General features: G+C 39.2%; 2 protein-coding genes across 2 annotated transcripts, besides 1 other annotated feature; both read left to right on the top strand.

Annotated features, from left to right (window-relative positions):
- KRT27 (keratin 27) lies at positions 470-6,212 on the top strand. The gene is made up of 8 exons (NM_181537.4): positions 470-970; positions 1,750-1,832; positions 2,564-2,720; positions 3,159-3,320; positions 3,393-3,518; positions 5,288-5,505; positions 5,718-5,767; positions 5,882-6,212. The coding sequence occupies exons 1-8, from the start codon at positions 527-529 to the stop codon at positions 6,019-6,021; spliced, it is 1,380 nt and encodes a 459-aa protein (NP_853515.2). The 5' UTR covers positions 470-526; the 3' UTR covers positions 6,022-6,212.
- Positions 3,209-3,503: a silencer, noted in NCBI's record as "tiled region #1152; K562 Repressive non-DNase unmatched - State 3:PromF". NCBI's record gives its function as "represses a minimal TATA promoter and a strong SV40 promoter by Sharpr-MPRA in K562 cells {active_cell/tissue: K562}" and the evidence as "EXISTENCE:reporter gene assay evidence [ECO:0000049][PMID:27701403]".
- KRT26 (keratin 26) lies at positions 10,819-16,782 on the top strand. Its single transcript, NM_181539.5, has 8 exons — positions 10,819-11,347; positions 11,784-11,866; positions 12,611-12,767; positions 12,898-13,059; positions 13,141-13,266; positions 13,924-14,141; positions 15,367-15,434; positions 16,354-16,782. Exons 1-8 carry the CDS (start codon positions 10,907-10,909, stop codon positions 16,503-16,505), a joined length of 1,407 nt encoding a protein of 468 aa, NP_853517.2. The 5' UTR covers positions 10,819-10,906; the 3' UTR covers positions 16,506-16,782.

The raw sequence follows: 16,808 nt of genomic DNA, 5'->3' as shown, positions 1-16,808 counted from the left end.
AACACTTTCTGTCTCCAAAGAAGATTCCCTTTAATGCCTCAGTTTTCCTTTAGGACCTCCCCTCCTTCTTCTGATACTATGATACTTCATTGCTGAAGAAAATGCAATGCTGATTTGAGCAAGGGAAAGAGAAATCTGTCTATCATACTTTTTTATTCTTATAGGTATTATGCATTCCTGAAGCCTGGAAGACAGGAAGAGTTACTCATACTAAATTTGAAATGCATCACTATAATAATCCTGATAATACTCCACCCTGTCCAACTCCAGAGATAACAAATAACCCCACAATAACTATCCACCTACAGAAATGGACACAGTATGGTAAAGCCATTCATTAAAAAAAAAAAAAAATCACCCCATTATGGATAATTCACAATGAGCTGGCAAACATCATTTGGCTATGAGCAAAGCTCATCAAGAAACACCCTAATAATGTGTATATAAAGGCAAACCAAGCTGTTTGAGTAGGCCGTTCACCATCAGAGCATCACCGCAGAAACAAAGGCTCCAGCCTCCGGACACCATGTCTGTGCGCTTTTCTTCTACCTCCAGGAGACTTGGCTCTTGCGGGGGCACTGGCTCTGTGAGGCTCTCTAGTGGGGGAGCAGGCTTTGGGGCTGGAAACACATGCGGTGTGCCAGGCATTGGAAGTGGCTTCTCTTGTGCTTTTGGGGGCAGCTCATCTGCAGGAGGCTATGGCGGAGGTCTGGGCGGGGGAAGTGCTTCCTGTGCTGCCTTCACAGGGAATGAGCACGGCCTCCTCTCTGGCAATGAGAAGGTGACCATGCAGAACCTCAACGACCGCTTGGCCTCCTACCTGGAGAATGTTCGAGCCCTAGAGGAGGCCAACGCTGACTTGGAGCAGAAGATCAAGGGGTGGTATGAGAAATTTGGACCTGGTTCTTGCCGTGGCCTTGATCATGATTACAGCAGATATTTCCCAATTATTGACGAACTTAAGAACCAGGTAAGAAACGCCATGGCGTGAGTGTTAGCACTCCTGAGAGTGTTTAGCCACTCACAGATGCACAAATGTATAAGCTATCACAATAACAGGGCTTTGCCCTCAGCTTCTAAATTTTAGGAGTTCATTTTCAATATTAAAAATAATTTCTAATAAATTCTAATATTTGAACATGGCACGTCCATCATGTAGTATTAGGTATATGCTTTTGGTAATATTAAAATATCAAAAGCTGTCCAGTGTCTCCAGTTATATATTTATAGGCTTTCCCATAGAAAGAGCTTTTTTTAATGCTTGGGGTGGGAAATACAAGAGACCATACCCAGCCAGGCACAGTGGTTCAGCCTGTAATCCCAGCACTTTGGGAGGCCAAGGCAGGTGGATCACTTGAGATTAGGGGTTCAAGACCAGCCTGGCCAACATGGTGAAACCCTGTTTCTACTAAAACTACAAAAGTTAGCCGAGCGTGGTGGCACATGCCTGTAATCCCAGCTACTTGGGAGGCTGAGGCAGGAGAATCACTTGAATCTGGGAGGTGGAGGTTGCAGTGAGCCAAGATCGTGCCACTGCACTCCAGCCTGGGCAACAGAGCGAGACTCGGTCTCAAAATAAAAGACAGAGAGAGAGACCATACTTAAATTACCCATCTTCAAAAGAATGGTCTGATTATTAGAGACAGATGCCAGAAATATTACTATAATTTCATGGGTAATTTTATTTCAAGGAACTTTGAAATGCATCTTAAATATTTCCTCAATCTTAACTAACTTTTCATTTGTCAGATAATTTCTGCAACTACCAGTAATGCCCATGTTGTCCTGCAAAATGATAATGCAAGACTAACAGCTGATGACTTCAGACTAAAGTAAGTAGAGCTGAAGATAAATGGGAAAAAAAAGTTGTCTAAGCATTTTTTCTCCTTTATTCTTCTAAGTTATTTGACGTTGTCTCAAGCCTTTGTTCTTGTTTATTCATGTATTTGTTTTAAACAAAATGCCTGTTAGAATGAGTAACTAGCTGAGCAACAAATTTTACTTGGGAAATTTCGGGACTAACAAAAACGAGTGTCAAAGTCATATGAGAAAGAATTTTGGCTATTCCCATTCTCTTGCTTCAATGAAATGTATTTATTGCATGATAGATGACCTAACTGAAATGTGTTTTTTTAATTAATTAATTTATTTATTTATTTATTTATTTTTTGGAGACGGAGTCTCGCTCTGTCGCCCAGGCTGGAGTGCAGTGGCGCAATCTCGGCTCACTGCAAGCTCCGCCTCCTAGGTTCACGCCATTCTCCCGCCTCAGCCTCCCGAGTAGCTGGGACTACAGGCGCCCACCACTGCGCCCGGCTAATTTTTTGTATTTTTTAATAGAGACGGGGTTTCACCGTGATCTCGATCTCCTGACCTCGTGATCCGCCCGCCTCTGCCTCCCAAAGTGCTGGGATTACAGGCGTGAGCCACCGCGCCCGGCCTGAAGTTTTAAGTATTATCTTAGTAGTTTTACCTCAAAGCTTAGTCTGAGTTGTATGATGATCTAAAAAGTGATGTGCCATGTCTAATGACTAATGATGAAACTTCCAAATACTTTTCTAAGGTTTGAAAACGAGCTAGCGCTTCACCAGAGCGTGGAGGCGGACATCAATGGTTTGCGAAGAGTCCTGGATGAGCTGACCTTGTGCAGAACGGACCTGGAGATCCAGCTGGAAACTCTCAGTGAGGAGCTCGCTTACCTCAAGAAGAATCATGAGGAGGTAGAAGCTCCACCCGGCTGGCTCTCACAATCGCCTCCCTACCAAATTTTAAAACTAATTTCAGATGATAAATATAATGTCTTAAATTAACATTCAAGAAGGAACCTGTCAGTTTCTCCATAAGGCTTAGATTGTTTGAGACGCTTCTATTCATTCTTCTCAAAAGAAACAAACCTCCCAAAAAGTTTCTAACCCTATAGATCTTGTCCATCTGACTCCTTTAAAAATATTCAGGCCAGAAGCGGTGGCTCATGCCTATAATCCCAACACTGTAGGAGACCCAGAATGGAGGATCGCTTGAGGCCAGGATTTCGAGGCTGCAGTGAGTCATAATTGCACCACTGCATTTCAGCCTAGGCATCAGAGCGAGACCCTAACTCAAAAAGTGCAATAAATAAAATATTCAGATCCTAATTCCGTTAAACAAATATCTTTCAGGAAATGAAAGCTCTTCAGTGCGCGGCTGGAGGCAACGTGAACGTGGAGATGAACGCGGCCCCCGGGGTAGACCTCACGGTTCTGCTGAACAATATGCGAGCTGAGTACGAAGCCCTCGCAGAGCAGAACCGCAGGGACGCGGAGGCCTGGTTCAACGAAAAGGTAAAACCACGCTTGGGTGCGCCCGGGCGCGGACTCAGCCCCAGCGCCCTAACGCGGCCCCTGCCGTTCCAGAGCGCCTCGCTGCAGCAGCAGATCTCTGACGACGCTGGCGCCACCACCTCAGCCCGGAATGAGCTTATCGAGATGAAACGCACTCTTCAAACCCTTGAGATTGAACTTCAGTCCCTCTTAGCAACGGTAAGCGAAAAGTTACAAAACAGATTTGCTTTAGAAATTGAGAAAAAAATAATCGAAGAGAATTTTCTTCCAACATAATTACATATTTTAGTTTTTAACCATTAATTACAGTGCTTGACATAAGACATATTTGCATTTTGCACATGACAATCCTCTTTGCCTACAAAGTATAGCTGGATGCCAATAATTATGAAATATTAGAAATTAGCAAATACAGTCAAGATACTGGAAAAAGAAAATCGTTTTGACTTTGAATCTTCTATCATAAGTCAAAATATCAAAAACCACTCATATGTGGAGGCTAAAAAAGTTGATCTCAGAAGTAGAGAGTGGGATAAGTGCTTACTAGAGCCTGGGAAGGGGATGGGGGGATAGGAAGAGGTTGGTTAAAGGATACAAAATTACAGAGAAATAGGGAGAATCAGTTCAAGTGTTCTATAGTACTGTAGAATGACTACAGTTAAGAATAATTTATTCTATAATTTCTAATAGTTCAAGGAGAGGATTTTGAATGTTCCCAACACACACAAAAAAGATAAATGTTTGGGACCATGGATATGCTAACTGCCCTGATTCTATCACTACACATTGTGTGTTTTGAAATATAATTATGGAACCCCATAAATATATACAATTCTTATGTGTCCATTTAAAAAAAAAGAAAAAAAATCCTACTGCTTAAAGAGAGCAAAAATACATTTGCACCACTCCTAGCTTCATCTAGCATTCCTTTTGGCCACTCAATTAAGAGCACTTACAAGTTCCTTTGTAAGTGGCATAGACAGAGGAAAAGTCGAGGCATGAAGGCTGACTATAAAACTAAACATGTGTAATGATAATCATAACTGCTTTCATTAAGGGTTTGCCCAGCACTTCCGCCCACATGTGAGTCCACAACAACCCCGGGGCATGGGCAGGGCAGACGTTATAACTCATGTCATTATTTCCAAAAGAGGACTCTGAGATTCGAAGAAGTTAAGCAATTCCCACAGTCCCACAGTTGGGTATGAAGGAATCCAGAAGTTCTCTCCAAATTTTCTAACTCCCAAGTCTATACTTTTCCCACTATGGCTAGTAAACCACCAGAGTTTATCCACAGATGAGGCTATGAATGTATATAAAATCAAGACTTTATATAAAAAATACTTGCAGGTGAAAGGATAAGACACTCTCATCTTCATTCCATGTAAAATTGCAGTGAGTGTTCCCTCTGAGTATATCTGTAAACCCATTCAGATTCACAAGCCAATGAATTGAACTACTGTATTTAAAGTCTAAGAAGGTAATTATTTTCTGTGGTTTATTCTACTCATGGAACGTTTATGCGGTTTACTGCAGGATGACTTTTTAATAGAAGAGCTACAATCCTCATAAGACAAGACTGTCACATGGCTAGAAATGAGTAGCAAAGTATAGGCGGACTTCTAGTTGTGGGTAAAGTAGCAAATTGTGCCACACTCTACAAGCACAGGCTATATTGGTGCAGGGGAGGGATCTTTCAGTCTGTGCCCTATGAAGAGACAATTTCATCTTTTTTAGCACACCTGGGCATCTGAGGGACATTCAGCACCAGCTGTGTCATTCTCAAATAGAAAAGTAGTAGGACATTTAATAAAGGCAACAATTAATATTGAAGAAGTGGAATCTTTTGGGTAAATATAATTATTTGCATGATGTAAGGATAATTCTCTTAATTATCTCTTAAATGCTTTGGCTTATTCTAAAACACCGTGACCTTTTCTATTAAACCATGTCTTACCAAACTACAGAAACACTCCCTGGAGTGCTCCTTGACAGAGACCGAGAGTAACTACTGTGCACAGCTGGCACAGATCCAGGCTCAGATCGGGGCCCTGGAGGAGCAGCTGCACCAGGTCAGAACCGAGACCGAGGGCCAGAAGCTCGAGTATGAGCAGCTCCTTGACATCAAGGTCCACCTGGAAAAAGAAATTGAGACCTACTGCCTCCTGATAGATGGAGAAGATGGGTCAGTATTGCCGCCATTGAGAAAACAATTCATTTTTAAGGTTACTAAAGATGATTTGAAATCAAGTACAAAATATCTATGATCTAGATCACGCATAGATAATACTCTTTTAGTGTTATTTCAGAATGCAGTGAATTCCCACCTTAAATCATTATTTTTCAGTTTCCTCAGTAAAACAGAATAATTAATATAAGCGCTCTATACTTTTACAGCTCCTGTTCTAAATCAAAAGGCTATGGAGGCCCAGGAAATCAAACAAAAGGTAAACAAAAGCTGTGTTAGGCATTCAGTGTTTATTTGTATGTGTTTCAAATGATGTTTTATTTCCTATTTATGAATTTGATAAATTCTAAACAGTTTATATGTGGCATTTTAGATTCATCTAAAACCACCATTGTCAAAACAGTTGTTGAAGAGATAGATCCTCGTGGCAAAGTTCTCTCATCCAGAGTTCACACTGTGGAAGAGAAATCCACCAAAGTCAACAACAAGAATGAACAGAGGGTGTCTTCCTGAACTCCAGCCTCTGAGACAGAATGGCCCCCAAATTAAAATACCAAAATGAAGCTAGTTTCCTAAATAAGGGTCCCCTTATTTTTCTGCTTTTCTTCCAATGAATTAAGACAAGTTATTTTTAGAATAGTACCATTTCTTTGGCTTTTTCTCTATGGTGGTGTTTCAATAAAAGTTCTTCCTGTTGCAAGTCATCTTCCCTGGTTCTGGCCAATCTTTGCATTTTAGATATACCCTCCCAAATGGAAGCTGAATTTTGTCTTTAATTTCTTCTGTTTAATTCAACAGTCTTCACAAGTTGGAAGTAAGTTTAATGTGAAAACTAGTTGGAGTCTTTTTGACTTCTCTGTAAAATTTTGTCTCCTTTGTCTCAGTACGAAAAGTACTTACTGAGAACACGCTATGTGCCAGATAACGAGGATAAAACAGTTAATAAGATCCAGTCCCTGAAGTCAATATGCTCATAGATGTAGAAATAAGAACCTGAAGAATCAGAAACAAACTTAAACATAAAGGAAAGGCTATAAGTAGTGATATTTGAAGGTAGAAGGGGAAAAAGAGAGCTGTGAGGACAAGGGTAAGAGGAGAATTCCAGCAGGCATCTAATTCATAATCTTGATCACTCCACCATAACGGTAGGAATTCACAAGTTCTCTCCTTCGTTTTTGCCATCCAAGACTGCAGAGCCATGTGGCTCTCAAGTCAAAGGTAACTTTTAGTGCAATAATTTCAGCACCTACCATTAATGAATCTATTTCAAGGCTGGGAGTGGGAGGAGGTTAAACTCAGCAGAAAACCCTCCAGAGGTTTATTTGTGGGTGAGAGATTTGGCTCCCCCTCACCAATCCCGTAACAGAAACAGCCTGTTTTTCTCTGGAACCAGTGTCCTATTACTGAACTCTGTAGAATTGGCTCAGCACAGTTGAAACACAGTCACTTTCAAGCTGTCTTTCCTCCTCTTTTTCCCACACGCATGTAATAATACCTAAGCGAATGTAAGGCAGATACCCTCTCACTTAACTTTTTAATTAACCAGTCCTCACATCATATACCCTCATATCAAAATTAGGAAAAGGAAACATCCTACCACGTAAGAGTTGAAAAGTTACATTCACGCAAAAACCTGTGCACAGATGTTTATAACAGCTTTATTCGTAATTGCCAAAACTTGGAAGCAACCAAGATGTCCTCTTGGTTGACGAATGGATAAATAACTGTGGTACCTCTAGACAACAAAATATTATTTAGTGCTAAAAAGCTATGAGCTATCAAGCCATGAAAAGACACAGAGGAACCTTAAATGTATATTACTAAGTGAAAGAAGCCAATCTGAAAAGGCTACATACTGTATGACCCCAACTATATGACATTCTGTACAAGGCGAAACTATGGAGATAGTAAAAAGATAATTGGCTGCCAGAAATTGGAGGTGAGGGATGCACAGGCAGAACACAGAGGATTTTTAAGGCTGTGAAAATACTCTGGATAATATCATAAGAACGGATACGTGTCATTATACATTTTCCAAACCCGTAGAATATACAACACTAAGAGTAAACGGTAATACTAAAAAGTCTTTAATTTTTTTTTTTTTTTTTTTTTTTGAGACAGTCTCGCTCTGTCGCCCAGGCTGGAGTGCAGTGGCGCCATCTTGGCTCACTGCAAGCTCCGCCTCCTGGGTTCAAGCCATTCTCCTGCCTCAGCCTCCCGAGTAGCTGGGACTACAGGCGCCTGCCATCACGCCCGTCTAATTTTTTTGTATTTTCAGTAGAGACGGGGTTTCACCGTGTTAGCCAGGATGGTCTCGATTTCCTGACCTCGTGATCCACCTGCCTCGGCCTCCCAAAGTGCTGGGATTACAGGCGTGAGCCACCGAATACTTAGCTCAGATTTCACAGTATTTGAAACGCCTGACCACCAACTCACCATAACTCAGGAAATAAATTCTTTCTGCTAAAACCAGGCCAATATTTAAAACCTTTAAATATGACTTCCAGGAAAGAGTCAATAATAGTTGATAACCAGCACTTACTAGGTGCTAGACTCTGTTCTAAGCATCATTTATTCCTCACAACAACCCTATGAGGTAGGTACTGTTATCGTCCTCGTTTTACAGATAAGGAAACGGAGGCAGAGACTGGTTGAATAATTTGCCCAAGATCACACAGTAATAACATGAAGTGCTGAAATACGTAAACCACACAGAATAGCTCAGAGTCTGGTGCTTCACCACGACATAATACCATGCTAGTGAGAACTTTATGACTCCACCTTCCCTATAACAAGAGAAGGGATAAAGAAACTACGTGCATGCTCACTCCAGTCGGTCTGAGATTAGCAGAGACATCAGTATCTCCTTCTTCCCAAAACAAACCAGGGAAGCCATTTTGTGGGCGGACTTAGTATACCAGAATCTGATTCTCAGGAAAAAAAAAAACAAAAAACAAAACCAAAAATTAGGAATCTAGTGACAAAACAAACCTCATTCAAGTTCAAGAAAAATGGTTATCTAACATAAATATAGAATGTGAATTTTAAACAACAGTGTACTTGAAACTAAACAATAAATGTATCAGGGGAAAATTAGCATATGATCATTAGAATAAGATAATGTAATGAAAAACTTTATCCTGAAATAAGGAGACAGCAACACTGCATAAAGCTTAATTCGATTCATTTTGAATATCTAAAATACGTATGCACATCATGTAATGTTCTACTATCTAGTAGATTATCAAGAAATGATCTATTATGTACATCCATTCTTGCCATGGATAAAATAATCAATCCCGGGGAAGAAATGTATAGACTGAAGTGGTCCAGAGAATGTGTTAAATCTGTCTCCACTTCCAGAAAGAACTAGAGCATACCTAAATTTTTAAAATAAGTATTAGTTTAGAGGAAAATCTATGATTAAAATAATTTAAAAGACCTACTCACGTGAGTAAATAGGCGACAACATTTCAAGAAGGAGTTAAGCATCATATATTCCAGTCCTGCTTTGATATAGAAATGCTTTGTAATCTGTGTGGCCACTTAGCTTCAGAGACAACTCATCTCCAAAATAGTCCTAATAATATGTGTTTAACTTGTTTCACAAAAGATAATTTGTATTTATAAAGTATCTAGAGATAAATAGATTATGTTAATAATACTTTGAAATCTCATAATAACTCACCTAAGAAACTCAAGCCTTATAAATCATTAAACTGACAATACTCTCTGTTTTTCTTGTTTTATTTCTGGGAAAAATTAGCAAAAGATTAAAAATTTGACCAGGTCACAACAAAATCAGTAAAAAGTCTCTAAACAGGAACTGTATCTAGGTTATCATGCACTGTTCTAAACATAAGCTGATGGTCCAGTTATAGCTCTGTATTTATTATTTATTTTTAAATATTTTTGATTTAGAAAATCCATGCAGTCCACTAAATGTTCCATACGATTTAGTGACAATAATGTTGGATGTTTTCCAAAGGATTCACTATCCACAACATTGAAAAATATCATTCGGAAGAAAATTACTGTTTCAAAACTAAACCCATAATTAGTTAACCAATCAATTTGTATCATTATAGGTGATAGAGACCCGACCCTGTCTGACATGTCCACTTTATTATAATAATTTAAATAATTAACATTTAAAAATGTTTGTGCCTTTCAAACTGTCTTATCGTCATTCATGATTGGAACTGCTCAACATTCATTTGAGACTCTTTGATGCTATTATTTTCATTTGCCCAGTAGGGAAATGATCCAAGCCTGGATAACTTCCCAAGAGCATCAAGGCAAGAGAATAAAGAGTACTTCCCTGTGACAACTTATCTTCTCTCTAGGGTACTATAAGTACTGGTTTTCTAGGTAATGATGAAAACACCTCCCTCCTTATATATTTTACTCCTTGCTAATCAATATGATGCTCACTTCTCAAAATAATTCCTAATGTCTTAAATACATACATTTAAACTAAAAGACAGTAAACACTATTTAGGGGTAGGGAAGTGAACAATTTGGAGACTGTTAGTTGAATTGATGTCCTGCTCCTGGACCAAACCAAGAAATCTCAATCGAATTAATTCTCCACCATCATCACATATTCATGAATTATATTGAAATTAACAATAAGCAGGACTGCAGGATTTCTATTACTTCAGTTTTCAATTCAAGAAATGGTAGATTTCTTTTAAAATCTCCCACTACCAAAAGATCAATAGATGCTGAGATTTTCTGGTTTTGATAAGAAGGAAAACACACACCCAGACACCCAGGGCAGTGGCTCACACCTGTAATGCTGGCCACAGGAGGCTGAGCTGGGTGCTGAGGCTGAGGATCACTGGAGGCCAGGAGTTCGAGACCAGCCTGGGAAACATAGCGAGACCACATATCTTTAAAAAAAGGAAAAAAGAAAAAGAAACGAAAGGAAGAAAGGAAGCACTCAATGAAGTGGGAATACTAGAAATACTCTATGAGCGTTAACAGGACAAAAGTAGGAGACATTTCTCATTGGAATTATTAATTCTTTGTTATATGTGGCAGGGGGAGAATCTAGATTCTATTAATATTCCAGTGGCCAAAAAGATGCACATTTAGTCATATTTAATTTTGGCCTTTGAGGCTATGATTTAGTTTTACTTCACCTGGCACCATTTTTATATATAAAAAATATCCTTGGGGCACCTTTCCACCTACAGACTGGACGCTGTTAAAAATTACCCAATTGTGAAAAACAACAATTAGGATGCAAGTAAATTTTATTACAGACTGGCATAGTCAAGACTGAAATGACCCAGTGAATACTATAAAAGGCCAAGGGAGCTAACAAGTGTGGAAGGTGAACCCTGGCTTTGCTCCTCTTTCTGGGAAGGGGTTGCCCGGCTGTGCTGCCACCATGTCTTTTCGACTTTCTGGTGGATCCAGGAGGATCTGCTCGCGAACTGGGTCTGGTAGGCTGTCCGGTGGAGGAACAGGCTTCGTGGCTGGGAATGTGTGTGTTGGATCGGGAGCAAGAAGCAGCTTTTCTTGTACTCTTGAGGGCATCTCTTCTGGAGGAAGCTTCTGCAATAGCGGTGGAGGGTTGGGAAGTGGTGCCTGTGCTGGTTTTCTTGGCAATGAGCACAGCCTCCTCTCTGGGAATGAAAAGGTGACCATGCAGAATCTCAACGACCGCCTGGCATCCTACCTGGACCATGTGCATGCTCTAGAGGAGGCCAACGCAGACCTGGAGCAGAAGATCAAGGGCTGGTACGAGAAATGTGAGCCTGGCTCTTCCCGGGAACACGATCATGACTATAGCAGATACTTCTCAGTCATAGAAGATCTTAAAAGGCAGGTAAGAAATAGGGATTTGCATACTTTTACTACAGACTTTGTGTGTTGATAATTTAAAGAAGAGAAAATATAAAATGTGCCTAACAAATTTATGTGATGTAAGATTTGTTCACTCTGTATTTCCAGTGCTAAGCACAGTACCTGGCAATAAAATCTTGTAGAATTAAATAATGAAAAAGAAATCATTTCAAAACAGATATAGTCACTTCGTTTTTCATATATTTAGCTCATACCATTTGATCAAAAGTAGTAAAAGTATCTATGTGGCTCTTAAGCTCTGGATGCTTATTATCTGAAGAAAATCCAGATTTCTTTAACATAGAAAAAAGATACTAAAACAGATGTTTGACAGATTAAGAAGATATAAAATCACACTGAAGTCTGGAGCCTCCTTTGACTTTTGGTAATTAACATTTTTCACAATCTTCCCTATTTAGATTATTTCTGCGACCATCTGCAATGCCAGCATTGTTCTACAAAATGACAATGCCAGACTGACCGCTGATGACTTCAGGCTGAAGTAGGTGAAAACAAACTGATTAATTATATTAATAAAAGTTAAAATATTACAATTGGATTAAGGAATATATATTTTGCTTTGAAAACCAAAATGTTTTTCTAAAGCCAGACTAGATCAATAAAGAAATTGAATTAAATAAGCCGTTATAAAAAGAGCTATCATGGTTGGATAGAGTAGCTCATGCCTGTAATCCCAGCACCTTGGGAGGCTGAGGCAGGCAGATCACTTGAGGTCAGGAGTTTGAGACCAGCCTGGCCAATGTGGCAAGACCCCGTCTCTACTAAAAGTACACACACAAAAAAATAGTCAGGCATGGTGGCTCACTCCTGTAATCCCAGCTACTTGGGAGGCTGAGACATGAGAATCACTTGAACCCGGAAGGTGGAGGTTGCAGTGAGCTGAGATGGGGCCACTGCACTTCAGTCTGGGTGACAGAGTGAGACTGTCTCAAAAACAAACAACAAAAAAGAGCAATCACATATTTTTTAAAATCTAAAATCTAGCAATATTTTATTTAATTGTTAAGCACATTGGATGACAAAAATCAGCTCTGAAGAAATAACATCCCCAAAATACAATTCATGAATTGTTAGGTATCTCAAACCATTTTAGCAGTTTGCCATTGCAAGAAGCTTCAGAGGTATGTACAGAACATCATATCTTTCAGCATATGAAATACCTTAAAAAGTTGTGCTTTGCACCTGCCTACGATGACAACTCTCAGGTGCCTTACTAATCTTTCAGGTATGAAAATGAGCTGGCTCTGCACCACAGTGTTGAGGCCGACACCAGTGGTCTTCGCAGAGTGTTGGATGAACTGACCCTTTGTACAACCGACCTGGAGATACAGTGTGAGACCCTCAGTGAGGAATTGACCTACCTCAAAAAAAGTCATGAGGAGGTAAGGAAGCCTGCAGAGTGGCTTCATACAGTTTCTAATTTCCTTCTTGAAGTCCACTGTTCATTTCGTAGCAGGGCATGAACATCAATCAAAATCCTCCACTGAGGATGAATACCGATCCCTTTTCTAGGAAATGGAAGTCTTGCAATATACAGCTGGGGGGAACGTGAACGTGGAGATGAATGCAACCCCAGGAGTGGACCTAACTGTCCTGTTGAACAACATGAGGGCTGAGTATGAGGACTTGGCTGAGCAGAACCGCAAAGATGCTGAAGCCTGGTTCAACGAGAGGGTAGGTCTATGGCAAATTACAAAGGGCTTGCTCAGGAGACAATCAGGCCAGTCACTAACCCTTTCGACAATTACACTTCAGAGTGCAACGCTGCAACAACAGATTTCCGATCATGAGGGAGCAGCCACAGCAGCCAGAAATGAGCTGACCGAATTAAAACGCAATCTGCAAACCCTGGAAATAGAACTTCAGTCCCTCATGGCTGTGGTACGTAGGAATCGCCATTGAATTGAATATATGTGTGAATATGTATAAGTCAATACAGATATAAAAATACATATAACACCAAGTACGTATAACCATTTACATATGACTAAAAGTATAAAATATATTAAATATCAAGAATTCTGTCCCTAAACTCACCAATTCCAAAACTTGAAAAATGCCTTTTTACAATAGAGGAATTTTTTTAAATCTTGCAAATGTTGATTTTCAATTGAAAATATTCAGACCTTATACAAATAATTATTTCTACCTTGAGAATATTTAAAATATGACCATGCCGGCCAAGCACAGTGGCTCACACCTGTAATCCCAGCACTTTGGGAGGCCACGGCAGGTGGATAACTTGAGGTCAGAAATTCAAGACCAGCCAGGCCAACATGGTGAAACCCCATCTCTACTAAAAATATAAAAATTAGCTGGGTGTGGTGGCATGTACCTGTAATCCCACATACTCAGGAGGCTGAGGCAGGAGAATCACTTGAACACAGGAAGAGAGGCTGCAGTGAGCCAAGATCATGCCACTGCACTCAGCCTGGGTGACAGAGCAAGACACAGTCTCAAAAAAATAAATAAAATAATATAAGATGACCATGCCATTTCTCTTTTACACATTCAAGCTTCACTTTGCTTTTCTTTCAGAAACATTCCTATGAATGCTCCTTGGCTGAGACTGAAGGAAATTACTGCAATCAACTCCAGCAAATTCAGGATCAGATAGGGGTGATGGAGGAACAACTGCAACAGATTCGAACAGAAACAGAAGGCCAGAAGCTGGAGTATGAACAGCTTCTTGATGTAAAAATATTTTTAGAAAAAGAAATTGACATTTATTGCAACTTACTAGATGGAGAAGAAAGGTAAAGATTAACTTGCAAAAAAAAAAAAAAACCTCACATTAACTAGGTTTTCCCACAGTATAGGTATGCCAATATTGCATCCTAGAATTTCCTACTCTGGAGATCATACATATTTATCCTCAGGAATGTATATTATTGCAGCCAAGTGAAATTAAAACATGCAGAAATTTGAAAATCAAATTTCTAAGTATGCAAAATATTTGTATGTATAATATATAAAGGACATTTAAATATAGAATATTTAACAATTCCAGTACTCCAATTCAAGGGGAAAATTGCTTTCTGTGATTTAGTGTGTAAGCACATTTCTTATAAATAACTCATTCTCTTTTCTTATCACTTCACTAGTTACCCCACATGTACCTTGTATTAAAGATGAGCAATGAAGATATAGGAAGAATTAATTGGAGAGGCACCATAGTTTCTTAGTCAATAGCAACAGCCCTGGAATTGCAGCCCTGGCTGTGAATCAAATACTGGGTGAATTATGAGCACATTGTTTAACCTTTTCAAATGCAGTTTCCTCGTTGATGAAATTGTGATAAAGCCAAAACCATACTTGTAACAAGTCTTAACTATAATGTCTCACTACATAGGTAAAGAGCTCATGACAGTGGCATACACAGAAAAGGTATTTGGTAATCACTGCCTATTACTAAATGCTTGCCCATGGCCGCATAGTGAGGAGGTAACGTCTTGCACCCTCCAAGGCCCATCAGCCCTCTGCAGCCTATTCTCACAGGAACCCAACAGTGATTGCTCCCTCCTCAGAACAAAGCACTCATTACACCACTCACTTTTCACTTAATTTACAGCACTTTTCATGTTATAGGTAACTTTTTGCATGTGTATACTTTATTTCCAACTGTAAAAACTGTGTCTTGGTTCTATATCTTCTGCAGCACCTAGCCCAGCAACACCTTTTTCATGGTAGGCACTCCAAACACATTCACTGGCCAGTTGATTGAAAAGTCAGAGTGAGAAATATTGCTAGATGAAAGAGGTAATTTCTGGTCATGAGAAAATTTCTATTCATAAACATCCATTTAATCTCTTCTTTCACTATGTTGAAGTCATGAAAAGCTTATTAATGTCCTTTAAATATATAAGGAATTTGAATCTTATTGAAACTAGAATTCCAAAACTCTTATTTCCAATTTAGAGGTATTTATAAGCTCACTAAGGAAAGAAAAAAAAATGCAATAATTTACTCTTCTCTTCACAGAAAAAGCAAATCCACATGTTACAAATCAAAAGGATACAGGCCTGTGAATTCTGGAAATCAAGCCAAAGGTATAGATAGATTTTTTTTACCTGGTGTAACTCCTTAAACTCCATCAATTGTGTTAACTAAGTTACTTATTTTTTAACTAAATAAAATTTGTTTTTAAGTTTACTTCTGGTGAATAAAGGGATGAGGGGTCATTATGATAGTTCTTAATATTTGTATTTTATATTCCCGTAGATCAACAGATGTGGTCAAATTATGAAATTATTGAAATGAGGAATTAATCCCACAACATGTTTCTTACCTGGAATGTATTATCTTTCATAGTTTCAATACTTTGATAAAAGAGCTACTTTATCTTAAACCACAAAAATCGGGCAAGTTGGTATTTAAAAGAAGACAACATTACTTGCAGCCAGCCTTTACTGCCTGATACTTAGATTGTTTTAATCCATGTTTCATTTATGTTTTCAAATGCCCATTGCTCTAAAAGCAGTGGCAAATATAAGAGAGATAGTCCAGGATCTTGCTAAACACTGACTTCAAACACAGTATTATATATCGATTTACTGCAAACTTGCAAAAAACATTTTTAAAAAGCAAACATTTTTTAAAAGGTGCAGTGGCTCATGCTTGTAATCCCAGCACTTTGGGAGGCCAAGGCAGGTGGATCACTTGAGGTCAGGAGTTCGAGACCAGCCTGGTCAACATGGTGAAACTCCATCTCTACTAAGAATACAAAAATTAGCCAGGCATTGTAGCAGGCATCTGTAATCCCAGCTACTCGGGAGACTGAGGCAGAAGAATCTCTTGAACCCGGGAGGCAGAGGCTGCAGTGAGCCGAGATCATGCCACTGCACTCCAGCCTGGGTGACAGAGCGAGACTCCTTCTCAAAAAAACAAACAAACAAAAAGCATACCTATTATGGCTACTTTTCAACCTGTTAAAAAATGACCACTAATGTTTTATTTATTTTATTTTAGACTCAACAGAAGAAACTATTGTTAAAACAGTGGTTGAGGAACTGGATCAAATTGGCAATCTCCTTTCACTGAGAGTCCACTCAGTTGAAGAAAAGTCCTCTAAAATAAGCAACATTACAGTAGAGCAACGAGTACCTTCTAAAGCACCATAATGAGGAAAAAGTTATTTGGAAAGAAAGAAAGAAAGAGAGAGAGAGAGAAAGAAAGAAAGAAAGGCTGCCTTTGCAAAAATCCTACTGGTCAAATAACCTAAGGAAATTATTCATTTCTGTTCTTAAAAGGGCTAGAATTTGTTCTCCTTCTCTTCCTTTTCTCATGTTCTATGCATGTAATCCTTTTCCAGAGTAGAAAAATCCTGCTCTGTCCCTAATTTTTGTTTTTATTTTGGGGGCCTTTTTTGACATTTCATTAAAAATTCTTCTATTGCAAGTTATTTTTTTTAATATCTGATTCTT

Source organism: Homo sapiens, chromosome 17 (genome assembly GCF_000001405.40).
Source record: "Homo sapiens chromosome 17, GRCh38.p14 Primary Assembly".
Classification (NCBI taxonomy): domain Eukaryota; kingdom Metazoa; phylum Chordata; class Mammalia; order Primates; family Hominidae; genus Homo; species Homo sapiens.
This window is presented reverse-complemented; position numbering and strand designations above follow the sequence as displayed.

What these genes read in the sequence shown, in the direction of transcription:
- KRT26 (NM_181539.5), top strand. Translation starts at nt 10,907, where the DNA reads ATGTCTTTTCGACTTTCTGGTGGATCCAGGAGGATCTGCTCGCGAACT. An exon ending in TTACTAGATGGAGAAGAAAG is followed by an intron (nt 14,142 to 15,366) that starts GTAAAGATTAAC and finishes TTCTCTTCACAG; the next exon opens with AAAAAGCAAATCCACATGTT. An exon ending in TTCTGGAAATCAAGCCAAAG is followed by an intron (nt 15,435 to 16,353) that starts GTATAGATAGAT and finishes ATTTTATTTTAG; the next exon opens with ACTCAACAGAAGAAACTATT.
- KRT27 (NM_181537.4), top strand. Translation starts at nt 527, where the DNA reads ATGTCTGTGCGCTTTTCTTCTACCTCCAGGAGACTTGGCTCTTGCGGG. An exon ending in TTGACGAACTTAAGAACCAG is followed by an intron (nt 971 to 1,749) that starts GTAAGAAACGCC and finishes TTCATTTGTCAG; the next exon opens with ATAATTTCTGCAACTACCAG. An exon ending in TCAAGAAGAATCATGAGGAG is followed by an intron (nt 2,721 to 3,158) that starts GTAGAAGCTCCA and finishes AATATCTTTCAG; the next exon opens with GAAATGAAAGCTCTTCAGTG.